Source organism: Homo sapiens, chromosome 19 (genome assembly GCF_000001405.40).
Source record: "Homo sapiens chromosome 19, GRCh38.p14 Primary Assembly".
In the NCBI taxonomy this organism is placed as follows: domain Eukaryota; kingdom Metazoa; phylum Chordata; class Mammalia; order Primates; family Hominidae; genus Homo; species Homo sapiens.
Genome location: NC_000019.10, coordinates 17,555,548 through 17,583,286, shown reverse-complemented (window position 1 = coordinate 17,583,286; position 27,739 = coordinate 17,555,548). Strand labels below are relative to the sequence as shown.

At 52.9% G+C, this 27,739-nt stretch overlaps 1 protein-coding gene across 4 annotated transcripts, besides 4 other annotated features; it reads right to left on the bottom strand.

Moving 5' to 3' along the window:
• Positions 1–129: 129 nt before the first annotated feature.
• COLGALT1 (collagen beta(1-O)galactosyltransferase 1) lies at positions 130–27,638 on the bottom strand. Of its 4 annotated transcripts, none has more exons than NM_024656.4 (12): positions 27,314–27,638; positions 23,866–23,976; positions 22,822–22,939; positions 15,747–15,881; positions 14,574–14,778; positions 10,685–10,804; positions 6,016–6,092; positions 5,820–5,926; positions 5,198–5,330; positions 3,678–3,805; positions 2,382–2,588; positions 130–2,110 (listed from the first exon to the last, which is right to left on the bottom strand). In NM_024656.4, exons 1-12 carry the CDS (start codon positions 27,571–27,573, stop codon positions 1,843–1,845), a joined length of 1,869 nt encoding a protein of 622 aa, NP_078932.2. In that variant the 5' UTR covers positions 27,574–27,638; the 3' UTR covers positions 130–1,842. The 4 variants fall into 4 exon arrangements, with proteins under 4 accessions (NP_078932.2, XP_005260137.1, XP_011526599.1 ...); XM_005260080.5 differs by having other exon boundaries at positions 26,741–27,357; XM_011528297.3 differs by lacking the exon at positions 27,314–27,638 and adding an exon at positions 25,843–25,860.
• Positions 3,053–3,347: an enhancer, noted in NCBI's record as "tiled region #8704; K562 Activating non-DNase unmatched - State 5:Enh". NCBI's record gives its function as "activates a minimal TATA promoter and a strong SV40 promoter by Sharpr-MPRA in K562 cells {active_cell/tissue: K562}" and the evidence as "EXISTENCE:reporter gene assay evidence [ECO:0000049][PMID:27701403]".
• Positions 3,053–3,391: a biological region, named in NCBI's record as "Sharpr-MPRA regulatory region 8704".
• Positions 3,182–3,391: an enhancer, noted in NCBI's record as "active region_14279". NCBI's record gives its function as "activates an Ori minimal core promoter by ATAC-STARR-seq in GM12878 lymphoblastoid cells {active_cell/tissue: GM12878}" and the evidence as "EXISTENCE:reporter gene assay evidence [ECO:0000049][PMID:35858748]".
• Positions 27,471–27,560: a silencer, noted in NCBI's record as "silent region_10355". NCBI's record gives its function as "represses an Ori minimal core promoter by ATAC-STARR-seq in GM12878 lymphoblastoid cells {active_cell/tissue: GM12878}" and the evidence as "EXISTENCE:reporter gene assay evidence [ECO:0000049][PMID:35858748]".

The window sequence follows — 27,739 nt, the reverse complement described above, 5'->3', positions numbered from 1 at the left end:
CCATGCCAGGCCCCACTGGGCAGCTTCCCTACTGCACCTGCCCTGGTTTCCTCCCAAATCTTGTCGGCCATCCAGGGGTGGGGAACGTGGGCAGTGTTTTGGTGCCGAGCAAAATCCCACAAACTGCTGTGAAAACCAACCAGGAACATTTATTAAAAAACTAAGCAAGTTATCCCCAAGAGGGTGAAGCACCGCTGGCTGGTTCTGACATTCGATTCAGGCTGAAGGCACGGCAACTCCTCCAGCCCTTGCTGGGAAATGTCCTACCCAGGCCACGGGCAGTGCCCCAGTGCAGCTGGGTCCCCTAAAAGCCCCCAAACACATGATCCCACCAAAGGCTTGAACAGAGCAACTTCATCAAGCAGGCAGGGACCACACCTGAGACACAAGGGCAAGGAGGTAAAGCACAGGGGACCGGGAGTGGGCCAGGGACACCCAGCCCCCGTCTCCAACTGGCGCCCCCTCCAGGGGGGCTAACATGTGGCGTGGGGCCACCAGGACCTGTGCTTGCCCCTGGTGGCGGAAGAGCTACCCTCCCTCTTGGGTGGTGGGGGGATGTTGTCTGCACACAGCTCAGACGACCGAGGGTACAGGAAGAATCAAACTCAGTCAACCATTCTTCAACCCAACTGGGAGTCTGTGAGGCCTGGCACACAGGTGCTCAATAAACACTTGTGGCATGAAGAAGTGAAGGAACCGATCTTGTTCATCTCTGTGCCCCAGCACTCGGCATGTAGCCCATGATCGAAAATGCAGACTGAACAACTGTCACACTCTTTTGTATCACTAGTGCCCGGCACACAGTCAGTGCTCTTCAGGTGTGTGGGAAAGAAGCCAATGAGTGAGAAGTTCCCACACCGTCTAGCAGTGAGGAAAAAAAGAAAAAAGTAAAAAGTACCTTGTTTACTCCCATTCCCATCCCATAGCTCAGCTCCCTGCACACAGCAGGTGCTCAGTAAGTGTACCGAATCAGGAACTTATCTTTGTGACATGAGTGCCAGGCACACAGTAGGTGACCAATATGTGCTTGAATAAATGGATAGAAGCATCTTATTTATCTCAATATTCCCAGAGCCTGGGCTGGGCACAGTGGCTCATGCCTGTAACCCTAGCACTTTGGGTGGCCAAGGCGGGCAGATCACTTGAGGTCAGGAGTTCGAGACCAGCCTGGCCAACATGGTGAAACCCCGTCTCTACTAAAAATACAAAAACTAGCCAGATGTGATGGCACGCACCTATAGTCCCAGCTACTTGGGAGGCCGAGAAACAAGAATTGCTGGACGCTGGGAGGCGCAGGCTGCAGTGAGCCGTCACACCACTGCACTCCAGCCTGGGTGACAGAGACAGACTCTACTCTTAAAAAAAAAAAAAAAAAAATCCCAGAGCCTGGAATGGCACCCAACACACAGTAGGCACTCAATAAATCCTTGAATGAATTTTAAAAATGAATGTGTATCACTAGTGCCTGATTCTTAATCTGATCAGTAACTGCTTGATGACTGAATCAATCGCTGATGGAGGGAACAATTATGCCTCATTCACTGCCGTAACATGGGAACCTTGCATACAGCAGGTGCTTAATAAATGCTGGGCACATGAACAGATGAAGAGGGCTTGGTTCCTCCCAATTCCCCAGGGCCAAGCCCTGTTGCTGGCATGCAGTAGGCACTCCATTAATGCTGCCTGTGTGCACGTGATTGCTTAGCAAGAGCTGGCTGGACACCACCCCACACGAGAGCCCTCTGTGGCCTGCCAAGGGGTCCAGAGGTGGACCTGATGTCCTCAGTAAGCACGTGGAGCCTGGGCCACCGATGGCTGCTTTGGCTTTCTGGCTGCTACCCCTCAGAGTTCATCCCGGGCAGCACTGTCCAGTGGGGACTGGAGCACGTCCGAGTTCTTGGCCTCACGGCTCAGTGCCTGCTGCTCCCGCATCTTCTGGGACTTGGCGCGGTCCCAGTCGGTCTTGACGTGCTCATTGTTCCATACGACTGAGGTCTCGGTGTCACTCACATAGCCATCGTCTCCTGTGTAGTGTGTGGGGTAGATGAGCAGCGGCTCCACAGAGAAGGCATGCAGGTTGCGGAGGGAGAAGTGGGCCTTGTACTCGGACCTGGGGGGAGGAGGAGGGGAGTGAGGGGCAGCAATGGCTTCAGGGGACGGGACAGCTGGAGGAAAAATTGGGGGTGAAGAAGTCAGCGGGGACAGATTAAAACGTAAGTGTGCAGGGGATACAAATGGAGACAGATCTGCGAGGGGGCAAACGGAGGGAGAAGTAGGCAAAAGAAGAGACATCTTCTCGGAGGCCGTGAGTCTCACATCCCCATTCTCCCAGGACAGACCCACCGTGAAACCCCAGCCCAGCAGCCGCCTGCCCCTCTCACACTGGGTGTTTGTCGAACATGACGGGCAGGAACTCGTCCACAGGCAGCATCTTGGAGAGCGGCTCAGCAGCCAGCAGTTTGCGGGCGCCTTGCAGGGAGATCACGTAGGCCAGGGTCCAGTAGGAATAGTCGGCCTCCACCAGGTTCCTCACGCGAGGCACAGCCTTCTCGGGGTGCTCCACCTGCATCCGCTTCCGGCCCACATAGCTGGGGTGCAAGATCGGGCCTGTCACTCTCCTCCCGCCCTCCGGAGGGAGCTTGCCCAGAAAGCCAGGGATCTAGTTACCCCGTCAGGTCCTGGGATGGGAGCAGGCTCAGCATGTTTGCAGAGCTCTGTGACTGGATGGAGTGAATGCAGGAGCCCAGGGGTCTGGCGGTCATGGGGGAGAAGAGTGAGTTTTTCCAAAGGGCGTGAGGGAGCCATGGAGGATCTGGAGCTGGGGAGAGCAGGATCACGCAGACGTTCTCTGAGGCTGAAGCTGCTCTGAGTTCAGAGGACAGTGGGGGTGGAGGTGGGCGAGGTGCCCTGATGGGGGGGCAGTCAGGAATGGAGGGGTGCAGTTACTATTCACATGGGGCAGTGTTCCCAGAATGCAGATTAGGGCACTGCACATGGAAGGGAAAAAAGAGATGGAGGAAGGGAGAGGACAAACCAGCCCACTTACAGAAGAGAAGGACGGCTCCAGTGCTGGAAACATGTTGGTGGCACTCCCATCCAGGGGCTTGTCTAAGACCAGGCGCCCTGGCCACGCCCCCACACTCTTCGGCCACACCTCCAGCTCTGACCACACCCCCATGCTCTTCAGCCACGCCCACAGGCTGCCCGGTCAAATTTTAGCCACATCCACCTCCACAGGCCTCAGTCAAGTCTCTAAGCCTTGACCAAGCCTGCAGGCTTCCGGCCAGGTCCCTTGAGTTCTGGGTGATCCTTCCAACGCCCTTCCCTATAGGCTACAGCCCTGACAGTGCCTTCAGGCCCAGGAACCACGTGAGCCCTCCTGCTACGCTTCCAAGGGTTGGCCACGCCTGCCACCCTGACCACACCCAGACATACAGGCTCTAGGCTCAGCTGCAGCGCTGTGGCCACGCCCGTAGGATTCAGCTCCACTCCGCCTCCCAGCCCCACCTCTAAGCCCTGGCCATGTACCTAGGCTCCAGTTCCACCCCACCTTCAAGCCCCGCCTCTAAGCCATGACCCATCCCCAGGTCCCAGCTCCACCCTGCCCCCACCCCCACCTCTAAGTCCTGGCCTTGCCCCAGGCCCCAGCTTCACCCCATCCTCAGACCCCCACTCACATGAGGTCCCAGTCCAGGCCCTCCCGCTCCACATCCCGCATGAGGTTCATCAGACGTCTCTTGAAGAAGATCTCAAAACGCAGGTCATCCTCAAACACAAGCGATTTCTGCAGCCCCCGGTCCACCACCTGAGGGAGGAAGCCCCGCCACATCACAGGGAGGCCAAGGCCAGGCCTGACCCTAAAGCACAGAGCTTTGCTTTGAGAAGGTTTGAAAGACCCGTAGAGAAGCCAGTGCATCTCCCTGCCTCTCCTAGCTCCAGGGACATCTGGACATCCAAACCTCTGCCCTCTGCCGTCCATAATGGATCTCAGAAGAGAAAGGCCTCCCAGCCCCTCAAATGCCCACGCCTCATGCACCTCCCGCCTTGCAGCCGCACACCCCCATTTGGCTTCACATTCGATAACAAGTTTTTCTTTTCTTTTTCTTTTTTTTTTTTTTTGAGACGGAGTCTCGCCCTGTCGCCCAGGCTGGAGTGCAGTGGAACGATCTCAACTGCAACCTCCGCCTCCCAGGTTCAAGTAATTCTGCCTCAGCCTCCTGAGCAGCTGGGATTACAGGCATGTGCCACTACGCCCGGATTTTATTTTTCTTTTTTTGAGATGGAGTGTCACTCTTGTCGCCCAGGCTGGAGTGCAATGGCATGATTTCAGCCCACTGCAACCTCTGCCTCCTGGGTTCAAGTGATTCTCCTGCCTCAGTCTCCCAAGTAGAGGGATTACAGGTGCCCACCACCACACCCAGATAATTTTTGTATTTTTAGTAGAGTCTAGGTTTCACCATGTTGGCCAGGCTGGTCTTGAACTCCTGACCTAAGGTGATCCGCCTGCCTCGGCCTCCCAAAGTGCTGAGATTACAGGCATGAGCCACCACGCCCAGCCATTTTTCTTTTTTCTGAGACACGGTTTTGCTCTGCTGTCCAGTCTGCAGTGCAGTGGCACGATCTTGGCTGACTGCAGCCTTAACTCCTGGGCTCAAGCCACTCTCCCACTTTAGCCTCCCAAATAGTTGGGACCACAGGTGTGCGCCACCATGCCCGGCCCTGATGGCCCAAGTTCGAAGCCTAGTCAGACACCCTCCTCCAATCACAGCCTCTCCCTCTGAGGGTGGATGAGGATGCCTGGGCTGGTGAGTGCCCCCAGCAGCACTGGGCAGGTGCTGGTTTAAAGTGGCTCTGTGGCCATGACTTCTAGTACTAAACATCAAGCACAGAGACCAGGCTGGGAGTAATGAGGATTTGTTTACAGGTCCCAGGCCCCAGACACCACCTGCTGCTCAAAAGGGCTCACCCCTACCCCCAGGCTCAGTTTCCACATTTGCGCAATGGAAGGATGGCAGGTACACCTGGGGGTGATACAGCTGGTGTGGCGCATCATTCACTAAAGAGAGGCCATGGGTCCCATGGCTGAGGCTGGATGCCTAGCCGGGGCTTTGGGGAACTCTTTCAACCCCTTTCCCGTCCAAATCTCCGATGAGATCTAGAGTCATAACTCTGGCCCCGCCCATCACTCAGGACACACCTCCTTCCAGATGTTGTAGTGGCTCAGGAAGCAGCCCAGCTCACCCTTGGTGAGGGGCCGGCCGTGGTAGGGGTCCCGGTAGCCAGGCAGCATCTGGATCCCCAGCGCCTCCACCTGGCTGGTGTTCATGGCTCTGGAGAGGAGGAGGAGAGGGTCACGAAGAAGGTTCACCCTGCCTGCCATTCTGCCATCCCCGGCCATTCCACCACCCCCTGCGGCGTTGAGCAGCTGGTCCACCTCTTGTAGCACTGGCACCCCTTCCGGGCACATGGGGCCTCACTCACCTGCACATGGTATACACTCGCGGGCAAACCTGCTCTCCTCCTCTCCTGGGGTCTGACTGACTTACCCCTCCACAGTCCCCACCAGTCTACACTGGCAGCATGCAAACCTACCCATTCCCCTGGGTCAGGACTCACTTGCCTTCCATGGTCTACAACTGTGAGGATCTGCCCCTTCCCCAGGGTCCCATTCACTTCCCCTTCAGGACGCCCACTGACGAGGTCTACATCTGTTTGGACACCACGCCCGCCCCCATCTGAATCACTTGCCGTCTACCAGCGAGGTCTACACCCACATCCACGTGCGGACCCGCCCCCCCACCCCCAGGCCTCGGACTCACTTGCCGTCCACGGCCTCCACCAGCCGGCACTCGATCTCCTGTGCCTGCAGCGCCCGCAGCATGCGCTCCCGCCGGTCCTGCCGCCGCCTCAGGTTGATCATGAAGACCTGCAGCCCGGAGAGTCCCCAGCCAGATCAGCCCCTGCAAACAAGGGCCCTCCAGCCCCCGCCCCGCCTCCAGGGAAGGCCCAGCTCACCTCGTCGAAGCCCATCTTGTCCGGTGTCTTGGTGGGAGCCGAGATGAAGCGGGAGGGCTCTGCGGGCGGGTGCTTCACTGTGGGGCACAGACGTTGAGGAGTCGCTGGGGTAAGGAGCCTCCAGCCTCTCTCCAACACGCTTTCCCCACCCACTCCATGGCTCCCAGTCAGACTGGCTCGGCCCACAAAGTCGACCTGGCTCCGCCCACATCAGCGCTGCCCTCTAGGAGCCCCTCCCATGTCATTTGAACCCTGCACAGCAGCCCAAAGCCCTGGCCACACCCCAGGCCCCAGCTTCACCCCGCCCCCAGTCCTGCCTCTCAGCCCTGGCCACACCCCAGGCCCCAGCTTCACCGCGCCCAAGGCCCCGCTACTCAACCCTGGACTCGCCCCAGGTCCCAGCCTCACCCTGCCCTTAGCCCCGCCTCTAAGCCCTGGCCACACCCCAGGCTACAGCTTCAACCTGCCCCCCAGCCGCACCACTCAGCCCTGGCCACGCCCCAGGCCCCAGCTTCACCCCACAGCCTCCCCCAGCCTTGCCTCTAAGCCCTGGCCATGCCCCAGGCTCCAACTTCACCCTGCACCCCCCCAGCCCCACCTTTAAACCCTGGCCATGCAACAGCTTCGCTCCGACCCCCAGCCCCGCTTCTAAGTCCTGGTCACACCCCAGGCCCCAGCTTCACCCTGCTCCCAGCCCCGACTCTCAGCCGTGGCCACGCCCTGGGCTCCAGCTTCACTCCGCCCCCAACCCTGCCTCTAAGCCCTGGCCACGCCCCATGCTCCAGCTTCACTCTACCCCCCAGCCCCACCTCTATGCCCCTGCCAACCCAAAGAACCCCCATTCCTACCTCAGGGCCTTTGCACATGCTGGATCCCTGCTTGAAATACCCTTCCTTTCCCTGCTCTGTAACGTTACTTCTCAGCTATGATGCCCTGGGCATGGGGGTCACCCTCCCCACTCCCACCTCCCTAGGCTGAGCCAGGCACCTCCTCTGGGCCCCAGCAGCACCTGGACTTGCACCACCAAAGCTCGCATCCTTGCTGCCCTAACCCCCTGGCCCTGTGCCTGTCTGTTGTGAGCCCTTTGGGAAGGACACCAGGTATGTCTGCTCACACTGGGCCCCTAGTGCCCAACACAGGGGCTTGGCACACAGCAGGCACTCAGTAATTGCTTGTAGAATGAACCAAGAAATGATGGCATGCTGTATATTCTTGATTGGCCTGGGCCTCAGCTTTCCTCATCTATAAAATGGGCCAATAAGCCACTGAGAGGTTTCACAAAGAGATGTCATGAGATCATGCACTATGTCATGGGGTGAACTGTGTCTCCCCAGTGCCAACCACCAGTACCCCAGGATATGATCCTATTTGGACACAGGGTTGTGTACAGAGGTCATCGAGTTAAAATGAGGTCATTAGGGTGGGCCCTAATCCACATGGCTTGTGTGCTTTTAAAAGGGGAAATCTGTAGCTCCTTGGGAGGCTGAGGCAGAAGGATTGCCCAGGAGTTCAAGGCTGCAGCGAGCTATGATGGTGACACTGCACTCCAGCCTGGGTGACAGAGACTCCATCTCCAAAAAAAGCAAAAAAGAAGGCCGGGCACAGTGGTTCATGCCTGTAATCCCAGCACTTTGGGAGGCTGAGGTGGGCAGATCATGAGGTCAGGAGTTCGAGACCAGCCTGGCCAACATACTGAAACCCTGTCCCCACTAAAAATACAAAAAACTAGCTGGGCGCAGTGGCTCATGCCTGTAATCCCAGCACTTTGGGAGGCCGAGGCAGGTGGCTCACAAGGTCAGGAGATCGAGGCCATCCAGGTTAACACAGTGAAACCCCATCTCCAATAAAAATACAAAAAATTAGCCGGATGTGGTAGCAGGCGCCTGTAGTCCCAGCTACTCGGGAGGCTGAGGCAGGAGAATGGCGTGAACCCAGGAAGCGGAGCTTGCAGTGAGCCGAGATCGGGCCACTGCACTCCAGCCTGGGAGACAGAGCGAGACTCCGTCTCAAAAAAAACAAACAAACAAAAAATAATAAAAATAAAAATACAAAAAATTAGCCAGGCGTGGTGGCAAGCGCCTGTTAAACTCAGCTACTTGGGAAGGTGGGGCAGAATCACTTGAACCTGGGAGGCGGAGGTTGCAGTGAGCCAAGATCGCACCATTGCACTCCAGCCCAGGCGACAGTGCAAGACTCCATCTCAAAAAAATAAAAACCAAAAAAACCAAAAACCTAAATTAACAAATTAGCTGAGCATGGTAGTGGCATGCACCTGTGGTCTCAGCTACTTAGGAGGCTGAGGTGGAAGGATCGCTTGAGTCAAGGAGGTTGAGGCTGCAGTGAGCTGTGATTTTGCCACTGCATTCCAGCCTGGGTAACAGCGAGACTCTGTCTCAAAAAAAGGAAATGACAACACAAATATATGTGAGAACTTAAACTGGGAAAACTCTGGTAGCCACAGAGACGCTTCTCAGGCCCGTTTCTGATGGGAGTTGGTGATAAATGGAGACCCACCACCCCCAACTGTAGCCGGGTGGGACCTGGACACCTAAGTATGCCACTCTTGGGTGTTGTGGGGGGCCTGCCCCAGTGATTGTGCAGTCTCCAGGTGTCACCTCAAAAAGACTCAAAAGTCTCCCCCAGGCCAGGCGCAGTGACACACGCCTGTAATCCCAGCATTCTGGGAGGCCGAGGCAGGTGGATCACCTGAGGACAGGAGTTCGAGGCCAGCCTGGCTAACATGGTGAAACCCCGTCTCTACTAAAAATACAAAATTTGCCAGGTGTGGTGGCAGGTACCTGTAATCCCAACTACTCGGGAGGCTGAGGCAGGGGAATCGCTTGAACCCAGGAGGCGGAGGTTTCAAGTGAGCCCAGAATGCGCCACTGCATTCCAGCCTGGGTGACAAAGTGAGACACCGTCTCAAAAAAAAAAAAAAAGTCTCCCCAAAACACAAAGGGCAGGGTGCTATTCCATCTTGAGCCACCAGGGGGAGCCGCAGATAGACTCGTTCAGAAATCGGTAAGGCTGGGGAAACTGAGCCCCGGGACAGAGGCCTCACCCCTCCCACCCAGTCTCCATCTACGCAGTGGTGGGAATGGCAGTGGCTTTGGCAGGGCTTTCTGCGCCCAGTGCAGGGCGAGGCCCACATTAGCAATGGCTGAGATGGGAGCATCATCCCTAGACAACCTCAATTACAGCTCAGCCCTGCGTGCTCCTCCAGTTTTAGAGGGACGGCTGCTGGTTTCATAGTTCATGGATTTTTTTAAAGTTTTATTTATTTATTTATTGATACAGGGTCTGGCTCTGCTGCCCAGGCTGGAGTGCAGTGAAGCAATCTTGGCTCACTGCAGCTTCGACCTCCTGGGCTCAAGGGATCCTCTCGCCTCAGCCTCCCGAGTAGCTGGGACCACAGGTGTGTGCCATCACGCCTGGCTAATTTTTGTTATTTTTTTTTGGTAAAGACAAGGTTTCACCATGTTGCCCACGATATTCTCAAACTACTGGGTTCCAGGGATCCGCCCACCTTGGCCTCCCAAAGAGCTGGGATAATTATTTTTTATTATTATTATTTTTGAGACAGACTTACTCTATTGCCCAGGCTGTAGTGCAGTGGCACGATTATGGCTCACTGCGGCCTCCAACTCCTGGGCTCAAAGGATTCTCCCACCTCAGCCTCCTGAGTAGCTAGAATACAGGCATGTGCCACCATGTCGGACTAATTAAAAAAAAATTTTTTTTTTTGAGACGGAGTTTCACTCTGTTGCCAGGCTGAAGTGCAGTGGCACGATCTCGGCTCACTGCAACCTCCGCCTCCCAGGTTCAAGTGATTCTCCTGCCTCAGCCTCCCAAGTAGCTGGGACTATAGGCATTCGCTACCACACCCAGCTAATTTTTTTTGTATTTTTAGTAGAGACAGGGTTTCACCATGTTGGTCAGTATGGTCTCCATCTTTTGACCTTGTGATCCGCCCGTCTCGTCCTCCCGAAGTGTTAGGATTACAGGCATGAGCCACCGCACCCGGCCAAAATTTTTTTTAATATAGAGATGGGGTCTCACTATGTTGCCCAGGCTGATCTTGAACTCCTAGGCTCAAGCAATCCTCTTACTTTGGCCTCCCAAAGTGCTGGAATTACAGGTTTGAGTCACCATGCCTGGCCTATACATGCAGTTCTTTAGTGAAAACTTGCTGTCCTCTCAGTTTTCATGTCCTCTATAGCTCCTGACTGTCCTCAGGGGGAAGGTCCCTTCCTCAGCCTGGTCTCTGAGGCCATCCACCCTGGCCCTGGATACCAGCCCCAGGGGATCACTGACCTTGCCTGTTCCCCAGGTTCACGTCCCTTCCAGCCTCCCGGCCTTTGCCCACACTACCACCTCCTGCTGCAATCCCCTTTATGGTGAACTCCTACTCAACCTGCCCCTTAATGCCACCTCCTCCAGGAAGCCCACCCGACAACCCCAAGCATGCTGTGTACAGCTACCTGCAAACCAGCACTCTGTGAGAGCAGACACAACCCTCCACCTCGTTCACACGTGCCGTTGCACCCAGCACCCCCCACAGGGACTTGCATCTGCCTGGCACTCAGTCAGTGCTCATGGGACGGATTTGAGACATCAGTGAAAGGGAGGCAACCTGGCACCTCCCAGGGCGGTGTGCAGGCAGACTCACCCATGACCTCCAGCTGCACATGCATGAAGCTCTCGGCCTCATCCTGGAGGGTGCTGTGGGCGCGCAATGGCACTGGCAAGAATCCGTACTCCTCCTTGTTGCACACATACATCTGAACCTCTGCAGTGGGCAGGGAAGCAACAGACAAATGTAAAAACAGGCGAGGCCCAGTGGCTCATGCCTTCCATCCCACGGCTTCAGGAGGCCAACGCAGGAGGATCGCTTGAGGTCAGGTGTCTGAGACCAGCCTGGGCAACAGAGCAAGACCTTATATCTACAAACAACTTTTTTTTTTTTTTAAGACAGAGTCTCACTCTCCCAGGCTGGAGTGCAGTGGCACTACCTTGGCTCACTGCAACCTCCGCCTCCCGGGTTCAAGTGATTCTCCTGCCTCAGCCTCCCTAGTAGCTGAGACTACAGGCACATGCCACCATGCCTGGCTAATTTTTTGTATTTGTAGAGACGGGGTTTCATCATGTTAGCCAGGATGGTCTCGATCTCCTGACCTCGCGATCCACCTGTCTTGGCCTCCTGAAGTGCTGGGATTACAGGTATGAGCCACCACGCCCGGCTCTACAAATAATTTTAAAATTAGCTGGGAATGGTGGTACCTGCCTATGGTCCCAGCTCCTCGGGAGGCTGTGGCAGGAGGATCACTTGAGCCCAGGAGACTTGAGGCTGCCATGAGCTATGATGGCACACTGCACTCCAGCTTAGGCAACAGGGCAAGGCCCTGTCTCAAAAACAAACCCAAAAAAAAAACAGTAAAAATGCATGTTGAGGCACAAAAAGGAAAGTTTGACAAAATGTGAGTTAAGTTACTTCCTTCTACATCTATCCTTTTCTGGATGGTTTAAATTTTGATGAGTGTGTATCTTTTTTTTTGAGACAGAGTCTCGTTCTGTCGCCCAGGCTGGAGTTCAGTGGTGCCACCTCGGCTCACTGCAACCTCCGCCTCTGGGGTTCAAGCAATTCTCCTGCCTCAGCCTCCCAAGTAGCTGGGATTACAGGCACCCGCCACCACACCCAGCTAATTTCTGTATTTTTTTTTAGTAGAGGTGGGGTTTCACCACGTTGGCCAGGCTGGTCTCGAAATCCTGACCTCAAGTGATCCACTGAGCCCAGCCAAGTGTGTATCTTTTTTAGACTAAAAAACTCAATGATGCTCTTTTAATTTAATTTATTTATTTTTTTTGAGACAGAGTCTCGCTCTGTCGCCCAGGCTGGATTGCAGTGGTGTGATCTCCGTTCACTGCCTCCTGGGTTCAAACAATTCTTGTGCCTCAGCCTCCCAAGTAGCTGGGACTACAGGCACCCACCACCATGCCCAGCCAATTTTTGTATTTTTAGCAGAGACGGGTTTCACCATGTTGGCCAGGCTGGCCTCAAACTCTTGACCTCATGTGATCCACCCACCTCACCCTCCCAAAGTGCTGGGATTACAGGCATGAGCCACTACACCCGGCCTCTTTTAATTTTAATTGGTCAATTTCTTCTATAAAGGGCCAGGTGGTAAGTATTTTAGGCTTGTGTGCCAGACGGTTTCTATCTCAATGACTCTGTTCTGCCTGTGGCACTTGAAAGCAGCTACAGACGACACTTAAATGAATGGGCTTGGCTGGGTACTGATGACACTTTATTGATGGGCAATGAAATCTGAATTTCATACAGTTTTCATGTGTCACAATATTCTTCTTCTTTTGATTCTTTTCCCCAGTGATTTAAAAATGTAAAAATTGGCCGGGTGTGGTGGCTCATGCCCGTAATCCCAGCATTTTGTGAGGCTGAGGCGGGTGAATCACCTGAGGTCAGGAGTTCGAGACCAGCCTGGCCAACAGGCAAAACCCCATCTCTACTAAAAATACAAAAATTAGCCAGGCGTGGTGGTGCACACCTGTAGTCCCAGCTACTAGGGAGGCTAAGGCAGGAGAATCAATTGAACCTGGGAGGTGGAGGTTGCAGTGAGCTGAGATCATGCCACTGTACTCCAGCCTGGGCAACGGAGGGAGACCCTGTGTCAAATAAATAAATAAATAATAAAAATGTAAAAATTGTTGGCCAGGCACCGTAGCTCACGTTTGTATTCCTAGCGCTTTGGGAGGCTGAGGTGGGAAGGATCACTTAAGGCCAGGAGTTCAAGTCTAGTCTGGGCAACATAGCAAGACCCCATCTCTACAAAAACATTTTTTTTTTCAATTAGCTGGGCATGTAGGCAGGTGCCTATAGCCCCAGCCAGTCTGGAGGCTGAGATGAGAGGATTGCTTGAGCCCAGGAGGTTGAGGCTGCAGTGAGCTACGATCACACCACTGCACTCCAGGCTGGGTGACAGAGTAAGACTGTGTCTCTAAAAAAATAAAAATAAAATATAAAAGTTGTTGTTAGCTTGTGGCCATATAAAAGTAATTAGTGGGGCCAGGCGCGGTGGCTCACGCCTGTAATCCCAGCACTCTGGGAGGCCGAGGTGGGCAGATCACAAGGTCAAGAGATCAAGACCATCCTGGCTAACACAGTGAAACCCCGTCTCTACTAAAAATACAAAAATTAGCCGGGCCTGGTGGCTGGTGCCTGTAGTCCCAGCTACGCGGAAAGCTGAGGCAGGAGAATGGCGTGAACCCAGGAGGCGGAGCTTACAGTGAGCCAAGATCGGGCCACTGCACTCCAGCCTGGGCGACAGAGCGAGACTCCGTCTCAAAAAAAAAAAAAAAAAAAAAGTAATTAGTGGGCCAGGTTTGGCCTGCAGGTCAGTTTGCCAACCTCTGGTTTCCAGTAAACAACAAGTCAACATGAGGCTGTGCTGTCTCTTTAAATATTTGTTTTCCCAATTAAACAATTAATATATGCTCAACTGTAGAAAATTAGGAGAATGGCCCAGGTGCAGTGGCTCCCTCCTGTAATCCCGGCACTTTGGGAGGCCGAGGTGGGCGGATCACCTGGGGTCAGGAGTTTGAGACCAGCCTGGCCAACCTGGGGAAACCCTGTCTCTACTATAAATATAAAAATGAGCCAGACATGGTGGCGTATGCCTGTAATCCCAGCTACTTGGGAGGCTGAGGCAGGAGAATCTCTTGAACCAGGAGGCAGAGGTTGCAGTGAGCCGAGATCGCACCACTGCACTCTAGCCTAGGTGACAGAGCAAGACTCTACTTCAAAAAAAAAAAACAAAAGAAAATTGGGAGAATATAGAAAAGTATGAAGATTGAAATAACATTTGGGGTTGATCATGGAAAATTGTGTAACGGGTTCAATGTATATTATTTGGGGATGGATGCCCTAAAATCTCTTGACTCACCACTTCACAATCTATGCACGTGACAAAATTACACTTGTGCTCCATAAATTTACACAAATTAAAAAATAATAGTAACATGCAATCAATAGGTATTTTTTTCTTGAGAAGGATTCTTACTTTGTTGCCCAGGCTGGAGTGCAGTGGCATGATCTCGGCTCACTGCAACTTCCGCCTCCCATATTCAAGTGATCCTCCCGCCTCAGCCTCCCCAGTAGCACCACCACGTCCGGCTAATTTTTGTATTTTTAGTAGAGATGGGGTTTCACCATGTTGGCCAGGCTGGTCTCAAACTCCTGACCTCAAATGATCCACCCGCCTTAGCCTGCCAAATTGTTGGGATTACAGGCATAAGCCACTCTGCCTGACCAACCAATAGATCTTAAAGAGCTAGGGAATGAAGCTAACCAGCAAAGCCAGGGCTGGAGAGAAACGGGGTCCTGGAGACATTATCTGAACACCTAGATACAGCTGCACCTGAAGTCAGCCCTGCGCTGCATTGTTTGGGTTCTGTGAATCTTCAGTGTGTTCTGAACTGGCTTAGTGCAAAACCCAAAGAACCAGGCAGATGCCCCTGCGATGGCAGACCCCTCATGTACGTACCTGCCTGCTTGCAGGAGAAGGCAAAGACGATGATGTCGTCAAAGGACCAGGTGTAGTCAGGGTGAGGTGGGTAGAAGGCCAGGTTCCTGGACGCCGCCTTCCGCAGGTCGATCAGGAAGGTCGAGTGCACCATGGGAACTGCAAAGCAGCCCCGGCGGTCTCGCTTGCGGATAGGGATGTAGGCAGGTGTGCGCTTGTAGTAGCCCTGTGGGGAGAGAGCGAGAGTTCCGCGTAGGGGTCTTGAAAGGTGAGGATGGAGACCCGTGATAGTGGGCGGCATGAAACAGGACCAGACAGACAGCCAGGCACAGCAGTGTGCGCCTGTGGTCCCAGGACCCCAGACTCAAGCCCAGTGTGGGACCTGTGGCCAGGCATGGCCAATAAGAAAGAGCCTTGTATTTTCCCAGCTTCAGTAATGAGTTCAGAGGTAGTGTGGAGAGGAGACTAGCAATGGCCCAATCAGAATGGATGATGGCTAGACGCTGCTGGGATCACTCTCAAGCTGTCTGAGAATGAACCCACCCAAAGGATGGAGAAAGACAGTTATCCAAACACCTGGATCAAGCCATGCCTGAAGTCCCATCCTGACACCACCACTTGCTAGCTGTGTGACTTTAGGCAAGTCACTTCCTCTCTGTGTTTCTGTTTCCACCTCTGGAATAGCATGGTGGGGGACAATCAAGGACCCTCTATTCTTCCCTCCTGTCTGGCCTCAGAGGGCTGTTTAAAGATTACCATAATGAGTTTTTGTTTTGTTTTGTTTTTGAGACCAAGTCTCACTCCGTCACCCAGGCTGGAGTGCAGTGGCGTGATCTCGGCTCACTGCAACTTCCGCCTCCTGGGTTCAAGTGATTCTCATGCTTCAGCCTCCCGAGCAGCTGGGAGGACAGGCATGTGCCACCATACCCGGCTAATTTCTGTAATTTTTTTTTTTTTTAGTAGAGATGGGGTTTCACCATGTTGCCCAGGATGGTCTCAAACTCCTGAGCTCAGGCAACCCGCCTGCCGCAGTCTCCCAAAGTGCTGGGGTTACAGGTGTGAGCCACCGTGCCCAGCTTCCATGATGATTTTTGTAAAACACACACCACGAGGTTGTGTGACAGTAAGTTACACTCTAGCCACGGCACCCCCCTGCTCAGCCCAGTCCCCACAGTCCCCAGGCCCTCACTCTACCTGGGAAGTCATTCCACACCAGAAGTTGGAGTACGCAGCCCGGGAATCCAGCATGGGGGCGACCACCGTCTTGTTCTCAGCGATGAGCAGGCTCAGTGTGTCAGGGTTGAGGATCAGGTTGTCCGCATCTACAAACTGCAGAACACCCCACAAAGCATCAGCATGGGCTGCCAGGTCAGGCTACCATTCAGAACAGCTGGGGCAAAGGCCAGTGCCCTGGGGGTCTGGCAAAGACCTCTGGAAGCACCCCCTACACCGGATGAAATGAAGCAGGGACCCCGTTTTGGGGGCCTGCAGGATCCCCTGGATCATGGAAATAAAGCAAAGGTCTTCAGTTCCTTCAAAGAAAATTCTAGGCACTGAGATAGCCCTGAGAAATAAATGAACAACCAATGAGCAAGAAGGTAGCAAAACCTTTTTTTTTTTGAGACGGAGTCTCGCTCTGTCACCCAGGCTGGAGTGCAGTGGTATGGTCTCAGCTCGCTGCAACCTCCGCCTCCTGGGTTCAAGCGATTCTCCTGTCTCAGCCTCCCGAGTAGCTGCGACTACAGCCGTGCACCATCACACCCGGGTAACTTTTTGTATTTTTAATAGAGACAGGGTACCATCATGTTGGCCAGGCTGGTTTTAAACTCCTGACCTCATGTGATTCGTCCACCTCGGCCTCTCAAAGTGCTGGGATTACAGGCATGAGCCACCATGCCTGGCCTACTATTTTACTTTTTCTTCATTTTTTATTTTTTAAAGGGATAGCATCTTGCTGTGTCACTCAGGCTGAAGTGCAATGGTGTAATCGTAGCCCACTGCAGCCTGGAGTTTCTGGGCTCAAGTGATCCTCTCATCTCAGCCTCTCAAGTAGCTGAGCGTACAGGCACACGTCACCATGCCTAGATAATGTTTTCATTTTTATTTTTATGTTTGTAGAGATAGGATCCCTCTACATTGCCTAGGGTGGTTTTGAACTCCTGGGCTCAAAGCGATCCTCCCCATGGCCTACAATAGTTCTGAGATTACAGGTCTGAGCCACTGCACCTAGACTAAAATTAAATATATATATATAAAATCACACATAGAAAATGATTAGGTCCGGACGTTCCCCCTCTACCAGGATGTAAAGACACAGAAGTCATGATATATCACAGAACTACCAGAAGGTTTTTTGTTTTTGTTTTTGTTTTTTTGAGATGGCGTCTCCTGTTGCATAGGCTGGAGTGCAGCGGCGTGATCTCGGCTCACTGCAACCTCCACCTCCCATGTTCAAGCAATTCTCCCTGAGTCTCCCAAGTAGCTGGGATTACAGACACATGCCACCACGTCAGGCTAATTTTTGTATTTTTTGGTAGAGATGGGGTTTCACCAGGTTGGCCAGGCTGGTCTCGAACTCTTGATTTCAAGTGATACGCCTGCCTCGGCCTCCCAAAGTGCTGGGATTACAGGTGTGAGCCATTGTGCCCGGTCTGGATTTTTTTTCTTTTACTGCTGGTCCACAGAGATGCTTTCTGTTACCCAGGCAGTATCGTTTAGAATATTTGGATTAACTGCCATGAACAACAACAAAAACTAGAATTCCAGTATCCCCTGGCAACGTGAGAATACCATTTCCACATGGCAACCTTCAGTTGCAGAGGGGAGGTGGCTGGGTCTTAGGACAAGCCCTGTGGTCATGTTACACACCCCATCCGGTCCCTCTGGATGTTTGAATCTGTGACCTTTGAATATTAATGCAGAACAAACAGCCAGATCACTGTGGCAGTTCCTCAAAAAGCTAAACATAGAATTACTACATGATCCAGGAATTCCATTCCTAGGTATGAACCAAGAGAATTGAAAGAAAGGACTCAAACAGCTTCTTTGTTTGTTTGTTTGTTTTTGAGACAGAGTCTTGCTCAGTCACCCAGGCTGAAGTGCAGTGGTGTGATCTCGGCTCACTGCAACCTCCACCTCCTAGGTTCAGATGATTCTCCTGCCTCAGCCTCCTGAGTAGCTGGGATTAAATACAGGCGCGCACCACCATGCCCAGATAATTCAAACAGGTCTTTGTACGCTCATGTTCATGTCAGAATCCCAACAGCCAGGCCGGGTGCAGTGGCTCACACCTGTAATCCTAGCACTTTGGGATGCCAAGGCAGGCAGATCACATGAGGTCAAGAGTCCAAGACCAGCCTGGGCAACACGGTGAAACCCCGTCTCTACTAAAAATAAAAATAAATAAAAATAATTAGCCGGGCATGGTGACACATGCCTGTAATTTCAGCTACTCGGGAGACTAACGCAGGAGAATCGCTTGAACCCAGGAGATGGAGGTTGCAGTGAGCCGAGATCGTGCCACTGCACTGCAAACCTGCGCGACAGAGCAACACTCTGTCTCAAAAAAAAAGTCTCAACAGCCAAAAAAGGTGGAAGTGACTGAAGTGTGTCCATCAACGGATGAGGAGATCAACATAACGTGGTCCACCCAGACAACGGAATAAGAGTCAGCCATACAAAGGAAGGAAGCACTGATCCAGGCTGTAATGAACCCTGAAAACTCAATGCTGAGTGAGAGAAACCAGACACGAAACGCCATATAGTGTGACATTCCATTGACAAATCCGTAGACAGGAAGCAGATTAGTGGCTGCCAGAGCCTAGGGGAGAGGAATGGGGAGTTGGGGAGTGACTGCTGATGGGAATAGGGTTTTCTTTCTGGGGAATGAAAATGTTCTAGAATTAGAGGTGGTGGTTGCAAAACAAATAAATATATATGTGAACTGACTTCAATTAAAACAAACAAGAAAGAGGAGAAAGTGAATCTCTCCAGGAGATACAATTAAAATTTAGATGCTGGCCAGGGGCGGTGGCTCACGCCTGCAATCCTAGCACTTTGGGAGGCTGAGGCAGGTGATCACTTGAGGTCAGGAGTTCAAGACCAGCCTGGCCAACATGGCGAAACCCCATCTCCACTAAAAATACAAAAACTTAGCCAGGCATGGTGGCGGGCACCTGTAATCCCAGGTACTCCGGAGGCTGAGGCAGGAAAATTGCTTGAACCCAGAAGGCAGAGGTTGCAGTGAGCCGAGATGGCGCCACTGCACTCTAGCCTGGGTGACAAAATGAGACTCCATCTCAAAAAAAAAAAAAAAAAAAAAGTAGATGTTTTTCTTTCTTGTTTCATATGTATATCTATATTATACACACACACACGTATATATGTTTATATACATATATAGATATATATACATATACACGTATATATGTATATATGTATACACACACGCACACACATACACACACACATACACATATACGAAGCTTAAGAAAGGGTCTCGCTCTGTCACCCAAGCTGGAGTACAGTGACACAATCATGGCTGATTGCAGCCTCCTACTCCTGGGCTCAAGCAATCCTCCCACCTCAGCCTCCCAATTAGCTGGGACTACAGACACAAACCAGTACACCTGGCTAATTTTTTTTTTTTGTTAGTTTTTGTAGAGATGGGGGGGGTCTCACTATGTTGCCCAGGCTGGTTTTGAACTCCTGACCTCAAATGATCCTCCCACATTGGCCTCCTGAAGCACTGGGATTACAGGCGTGAGACACACCCAGCTCGTATATTTTTATTTATTTTTTTTACCTGCAAGTAACATCCATAGCTTTTGTAAAAAGAGAGAGAAAGGGGGACCTTCAAACAATCATTTTAAAACATTAGACAAACTATTTCACATTCCAATATGGGTTCCAAAGTCCCCAGTTACAAAAATATAATTTTGTGACCAGGCGCAGTGGCTCACACCGGTAATCCCAGTAGTACTTTGGGAGGACGAGGTGGGTGGATCACCTGAAGTCAGGAGTTCGAGATCAGCCTGGTCAGCATAGTGAAACCCTGTCTCTACAAAAATACAAAAAAAATTAGTCGGGCCAGGCGCGCTGGCTCACGCCTGTAATCCCAGCACTTTGGGAGGCCAAGCCGGGTGGATCACGAGGTCAGGAGATCGAGACCATGCTGGCCAACACGGTGAAACCCTGTCTCTACTAAAAATACAAAAAATTAGCCGGGTGTTGTGGCGGGCGCCTGTAGTCCCAGCTATTCAGGAGGCTGAGGCAGGAAAATGGCATGAACCTGGGAGGCAGAGCTTGCAGTGAGCTGAGATCGCACCACTGCACTCCAGCCTGGGCGACAGAGTGAGACTCCGTCACAAAAAAAAAAATAGCCGGGCATGGTGGCAAGCATCTGTAGTCCCAGCTACTTGGGAGGCCGAAGCAGGAGAGTCACTTGACCCCAGGAGGTGGAGGCTGCAGTGAGCCAAGATCGCGCCACTGCACTCCAGCCTGGGCGACAGAGTGAGACACTGTCTCAAAAAAAAAAAAAAAAAAAAAGAAACACGAAAATATTATTTTGTGTCAAAAGCCACTTTGAGTTTTGAACCAGCACTTTGAGTTCCACCCCGGTTTGCTGAGGGAAAAAAAAGCTAAAGCCAGGCAACCTCAAACCACAAAAGCAAAATCCTAGAGGCAGGACAAGGCAGCTTTGTGTCAGAAGGCTCTGGAAGGCTCCAGATCCACCTCTCTGCCTCCTTGCCAGTTCTGACACCCCACCAGGCAAGATGTCCCCTCCGTCAGCCTGTTTCCTCACCTATAAAATGGTCTGATAAGGCACCAAGCGAAAGGGTCCCCTCAGGAGCTCCATCCGTCCTCCCTAGATGTGGCACTGTCCCCGTTCCTCTCTCCCTGGCACCTTCACATCCAGTGTCAAAGCAGAACCTGTCTCCTTCACCTCGTGACGCATCCTGAACCCCCTGCCTTTCTCCACGGCCCCCACCCCATGCAGGCCTGTCCATCAATCGCTGATACCCTGCTTGGGCCTCTACTCCAGCTTCCTGCTAGTGTGTGGCTTTTTTTTTTTGAGACATAGTCTCACTCTGTCGCCCAGGCTGGAGCGCAGTGGTGCAATCTCAGCTCACTGCAACCTCTGCCTCCCGGGTTCAAGACATTCTCCTGCCTCAGCCTCCCAAGTAGCTGGGGTTACAGGCGCGCATCACCATGCCAAGCTAATGTTTATATTTTGGTAGAAACAGGGTTTCACCATGTTGACCAGGCTGGTCTCAAACTCCTGAAGTCAAACAATCCACTTGCCTCAGCCACTCAAAGTACTGAATTTAGAGGCATGAGCCACCGCGCCTGGTCCACAGAGGCTTCTGAAAATCTCAAATCAGAACACAGACCTCCCCTGCTCACACACCCTCCATGGCTCCCCATTCCCCTCCAAGTAGACACCAAGTGCCTCCACTGGCCTGTGTAGTTGGACCTCTAGCCACCACTGCATCGTAATCACTTTGCTCACTTGACTCTTTGCTTTTTCTTTTCTGCTTTTTGTTTGTTTGTTTTAAGAGATGGGCTGGATGTGGTGGCTCACACCTATAATCCCAGCACTTTGGGAGGCCGAGGCAGCTGGATCACCTGAGGTCAGGACTTTAGAGACCAGCCTGGCCAACATGGCGAAACCCCGTCTCTACTAAAATTACAAAAATTAGCCAGGCATGATGGCGGGGGCCTGTAATCCCAGCTACCCAGGAGGCTGAGGCAGAAGAATTGCTTGAACCCAGGAGGAGGAGGCTGCAGTGAGCCGAGATTGTGCCACTGCACTCCAACCTGGGCAACAGAGACTCTGTCTCAAAAAACAAGAAAAAAGAAAATCAGGAGAATATAGAAAAGTATGAAGGCTGAAATAACATTTGGGGTTGATCATAGAAAACTGTGTAATGGGTTCAATGTATATTATTTAGGGGATGGACGCCCCAAAATCTCTGACTTCACCACTTCACAATCTATGCATGTAACAGAATTACACTTGTGCTCCATAAGTTTATACAAATTAAAAAATAATAGTAATATTCAACCTATAAGTCTGTTTTTTTTTTTTTTTTTTTTTTTTTGAGACAGAGTCTCATACTGTGGCCCAGGTTGGAGTGCAGTGGCGTGATCTTGGCTCGAGAAAAAAATAAAAAGACTCAACTGTTCCCTTCCCCATGAGACAATGTCCCCACAGGAGGAGGAAGTGCAAGTCAGGCCTCAGCAATTCAATGTGGCCACCACCCCCCAGCCCCTGACCCCTTCCTCCTGCTTCTTGGAAGTGACCCAAAGGTTTGGCCATTACATATGATGGTGATAAAAACAGACGTGACACGGCCAGGCACGGTGGCCCATGCCTGTAATCCCAGCACTTTGGGAGGCCGAGGCAGGAAGATCACTTGAGCCCAGGGGTTGGAGACCAGCCTGGGCAACATAGCAAGACCCCGTCTCTACAAAAATATTTTTTATTTGTTATTTTTTAAAAATATTTATTTATGTATTTATTTATGAGATGGAGTCTCACTGTGTCGCCCAGTGACTGGAGTGCAGTGGCACGATCTCGGCTCACTGCAACCTCTGCCTCCTAGGTTCAAGAAATCCTCCTGCCTCAGCCTCCCAGGTAGCCGGGATTACAGGCACCTGCCACCACGCCCGGCTAATTTTTGTATTTTTAGTAGAGATGGAGTCTCACCATATTGACCAGGCTGGTCTCGACCTCCTGACCTCAAGTGATCCACCCGCCTTGGCCTCCTAAAGTGCTGGGATTATAGGCATGAGCCACCATGCCTGGCTTCCACAAAAATAAAAATAAAAAATTAGCCGGGCGTGGTGGTGGGTGCCTGTGGTCCCAGCTACTCAGGAGGCTGTGGCACGGGAATCGCTTGAACCCAGGAGGCAGAGGTTGCAGTGAGCCGATATTGCGGCACTTCACTCCAGCCTGGGCACCAGAGTGAGTCTCTGTCTCAAAAAAATAAAAAAATAAAAATGGACTTGACCCAAGTGTCCAAACACAGGGGACAACTGGGGACAGAAAAGCCCATTCATTCCTAGTGCTGAGGATCAAATGAATCCCAGCTCCTCCTCCACTGACCAACCATATCACCTCAAGCAACTCATCTCCCCTCTCTAAGCCTCAGTTTACCCTTCTGCAAAACAACATTAAGGATGGTCCTGGCATCCTGCTGCTCCGCCTTCCCTGGGGATACCCAGACCTGCCTGTGATCCATATCCGGCCGGCTGAGAAACTTACCAGGATGTAATCAGCCCACATGTCTCGAGCTGATTTCAGGGCTGCCTGGCGCAACTTCATGACATGCTCGTAGCGTGAGTCAGACCAGTGTTTCGGGCCTTCCTCGTCCGGGTAGGACCTATGGGGAGGCAGCTGTGATGTGGACATCACAAGGCACTATCAAAGCCCAGCGAGGGCCTGAGCTGCCTTCGGGGTACTCAGAGAGAGCTTCCTGGAGGAGGGGACGTGTAAGCTGATCTGAGGGATGGGAAAAAGTAAACGACGAGGAAAGAGAAGTGGGGAGAATGTTCCTGGCCGGAGGTACAGCCTGTGCAAAGGCCTGGAGGGAAGAAAGCCCGAGGCACACTGGAGGGAAGGAAGGAAGGAAGCTCAGTGGGGTCCAGTGCAGTGGCCCACGCCTGCGATCCCAGCACTTTGGGAGGCAGAGGTGGGAGGATCGCTTGAGGCCAGCACTTTGAGACCAGCCTGGGCAACACAGTGAGACCCTATCTCTACAAAAAATACAAAAACATTAGCTAGGCATGGTTACATGTGCCTGTAGTCCCAGCTACTCAGGAGGCTGAGGCGGGAGGATGGCTTGAGCCCAGGAGTTAAAGGCTGCAGTAAGCTGTGTTCACTCCACTGCACTCCAGCCTGGGTGAGGGAGTGAGACCCTGTCTCAAAAAAAAAACAAAAACCCAGAAAGGAACTGGGTGGGGGCAGGGAGTCCATGCTGCCCAGGGCTTTAGGGAGTAGATAAACAGCAAAGCCAGTGCTGGGACCAAGACTGAGTCAGTGAGCCAGGGAACAAAGCAGTGGGCGTCCCCAGAAGAAAAAGGGAGTGAAAGAATTCTAGGTACAGGGAACGGCTTGGGCAAAGGTCTGAGAAGAGGATTATGGCCTATTTGTAAAGCTGAGGGAGGCTCAGAGTAGCTTAATGCTGCCTGGCTGGGCTGGAGGCAGGGACTGAGGGCCTGTAATTGTTCTGGGGCAATGGGGAGCCATAGAGGGTGTGTGAGCAGAGGCAAAGCCCAATCAGACTAGGAGCAGGGGAAAGATGCTCACCTGGGCTCCTCTGCTGGCCGCCACTCCACGGAATGGTACAAACTCTTCACGGCCACCAGCCACTCCCGCAGCACAGTTGACGTGTTATCCATGTTGTGGTCCGTAGCCACCCTGCAGGGAGAGGGGACAGGCAGCGTACTTGGGGAGACTGAGGCAGGACCAGGCAGCAGTGAGGCAAGTCAAGGACCACCATCCCCAACTGGCCTCCCACCAGCTATGTATCCCTGGACAGGACACTTCTCCCTTTCCTTTGTTTTTTTTTGAGACAGAGTCTCGCTCTGTTGCCCAGGCTGGAGTGCAGTGGCGCGATCTCGGCTCACTGCAAGCTCCGCCTCCCGGGTTCACGCCTTCTCCTGTCTCAGCCTCCCAAGTAGCTGGGACTACAGGCGCCCGCCACCACACCCGGCTAATTTTTTTGTATTTTTAGTAGAGACGGGGTTTCACCATGTTGGCCAGGCTGGTCTCGATCTCCTGACCTCGTGATCCGCCCACCTTGGCCTCCCAAAGTGCTGGACTTAACAAGCGTGAGCCACCGCGCCCGGCCCATTTCTCCCTTTCCATGTCAGTTTCCTCATCTGTAACATGGGGGTGGGAACAGGACCCAGTTTACTGGGAAGTGGAAGGATTAAACAAGCTGATTTTGGAAAGACCCATTAGTGATTGGCTGTTTTATTACTGAGCATCTAAGATCTTGCAAACCACATTCACTAACAAATATGTGTCACTTAATTTTTTTTTTCTTTTGAGACAGAGTCTTGCTCTGTCACCCAGGCTAGAGTGCAGTGGCACAATCTTGGTTCACTGCAATCTCCGCCTACCAGGTCCAAGCAATTCTCCTGCCTCAGCCTCCCGAGTAGCTGGGATTACAGGTGCCCACCACCATGCCCAGCTAATTTTTGCATTTTTAGTAGAGATGGGGTTTCGCCATGTTGGCCAGGCTGCTCTCGAACTCCTGACCTCAGGTGATCCACCTGCCTCAGCCTCCCAAAGTGCTGGGATGACAGGAATGAGCCACCGCACACGGCAATTTTTGTAATGTATAGATCAGGCCAGGCACGGTGGCTCACGCCTGTCATCCCAGCACTTTGAGAGGCCGAGGCGGGTGTATCACCTGAGGTCAGGAGTTTGAGACCAGCCTGGCCAACATGGCGAAACCCCATCTCTACTAAAAATACAAAAATTAGGCCGGGCATGGTGGCTCACGCTTGTAATTCCAGCACTTTGGGAGGCCGAGGCGGGTGAATCACTTGAGGCCAGGAGTTTGAGCCTAGCCTGGCCAACATGGTGAAATCCCATCTCTACTAAAAACACAAAAAATTAGCTGGGTGTGGTGGCGGGCACCTGTAATCCCAGCTACTCAGGAGGCCGAGGCAGGAGAATCGCTTGAACCTGGGAGGAGGAGGTTGCAGTGAGCCGAGATCGTGCCACTGCACTCCAGCCTCAGCAACGAGAGCGAGACTCAGTCTCAAAAAATAAATAAATAAAAAATATTAAAAAATGAAATGTATATATCAGAAACCAGCTGGGTGCAATGGCTCACGCCTGTAATCCCAATATGTTGGGAGGCCGAGGTGGGCAGGTCACTTGAGCTCGGGAGTTCGAGACCAGCCTGGCCAATAGGGCAAAACCCCATCTCTAGAAAAAATACAAAAATTAGCTGGGCGCAGTGGCATACGCCTGTAGTCCCAGTTACTCAAGAAGCTGAGGCAGGAGAATCACTTGAGCCCAGGAGGGGGAAGTTGCAGTGAGCTAGGATTGCACCACTGCACTCCCGCCTGGGCGACAGATGTAAAACCCTGTATCAAAAAAAAAAGTATATCTCAGCAGGGCGCTGTGGCTCATGCCTGTAATCCCAGCACTTAGGGAGGCCGAGGCAGGCAGATCATGAGGTCAGGAGATCAACACAAGCCTGGCCACAATGGTGAAACCCTGACTCTATTAAAAATACAAAAATTAGCCAGGCATGGTGGTGCGCACCTGTAATCCCAAGCTACTCGGGAGGCTGAGGCAGGAGAATCACTTGAACCCGGAGGCGGAGGTTGCAATGAGCTGAGATCGTGTCACTGTACTCCAGCCTGGGCGACAGAGCAAGATTCCGTCTGAGAGAAAAAAAAAAGTATATCTCAAAGTATATCTCATAAATCCCTTACCCTGCCTTCATCTTCTCCTGTGAGCCACACCACTTCAGTGGGCTGCAGTCAATTATTCATTCAACAAACATTTGTTAAGTACCAATTGTGTATTTGGATTATCCAGACTGAGAAATCAGGTGGAAGGAAAAGCGACATTTGGGAGTTTAGTTTGACCGTAGTGCCAAAAGCTAATTCTGCCCAATAAATTAAGTTGACAATAACACCAGCAATGACAGTAATCATGATAATAAAATCACTGAGAGCCAAGCCCATGCCAGACCCAAGGGCTCCACATCCATTAACTGGATAATCTTCAGAGACAAACCCAAAAAGAGAATTATATTAATACGCTCATTTTCTTTTCTTTTTCTTTTTTTAGAGGCAGGTCTTACTCTGTAGCCCAGGCTGGAGTGCAGTGGTGCAATCATAGGTCACTGCAGCCTCGAACTCCTGGGCTCAAGCGATTCTCCTGCGTCAGCCTCCTGAATAGCTGGGACTACAGGCACACACCACCGCACCTGGCTAATTTTTGTATTTTTTTTCTAGAGACGGGGTTTTGCCATGTTGGCAAGGCTGGTGTCGAACTCCTGAGCTCAAGTGACCCGCTTACCTTGGCCTCCCAAATTGCTAGGATTACTGCGTGAGCCACTGCACCCGGACCCATTTTCCATTTGAGAAAACTGAGGCAGGGAGTGAGAAGTCACCAGTCAAAGGTTTCTTCAGAGCTCTGCCCCATTCCCTACCAAGAAAGCATCCACTTCCTCCTGGGCCATCTGGTCCTGGACTCCACCCACGCCGGTCTGAGGGCAGGGGTTTGACTGGGGCCTGGAGCCAGGCTGAGTTCAAGCTTAAGGGCAGCAGCCGGCACAGAAAGGCTTGCTGTTAGATGTGGCCTCTGGCAACGCCCCAGTGGGGGCTCTGGGCTCCGTCCTTTGGAGGTGTACGTGCCCCAGAGGGAGTTAGAGCCCCAGTTAGTGAGGCCGGAGCTGCCCTAGTAGGGTCCAGCAGGCAGAAGCGGTGCCCAGCCCACCCCAAAGGAGCCAGCAGGAGGAACTCGGTCCCGCTTGTGTTGTGGGGAGGGCTGTGTCTGGCCCCATGGGAGGACAGCAGGCAGGGGGCACGCGTGGACCCGTCCCGATGGGGGCAGCGGGCAGGGGCATGCGTAGAACCGTCCCGATGGGGGTAGCGAGCAGGAAGCACGCGCGGACCCGCCCAGAAGAGGACAGCGGGCAGGGGCTCGCGTGGACCCACCCCTATGGGGACAGCAAGCAGGGGCTCGCGTGACCCGCCTGATGGGGACAGCGGGCTCGACTCACCATAGCGCCGTGCGCTCCCGCGGGTGCCGCAGCCGCTCGAGTGCGCCCAGCGTGGTGGGCAACGCGTGGGCCGCGTTTCGCGCCAACAGCGCGATGAGCACGCGCGGCGCCTGCAGGGGCGACTCCGGGCTCCAGCGCTCCTCGGGGAAGTAGGCGTCGGCGCCCGGCGGGGCCCCCGGCGGCAGTGGCGCCAGCAGCAGAAGCAGCAGCGCCAGGAGCGGCTGCCCGCGCCGCCGGCCCGCGCGTGGGGCCGCCGCCATCGCGCCACGCGTCTCCTTTAAGTCGTTTTTCTGCGGGAGGACTCTGGCCGCGCCTTAAAGGGGTCATAGGGGCCCCGCCCGGCCGCGCGCCTTAAAGGGGAGGAGCGCGCCGGGCGTGAAGTCCAGGCCCCGCCTCCAGACGCTCTCCGAGTCCCAAGGCCCGGAG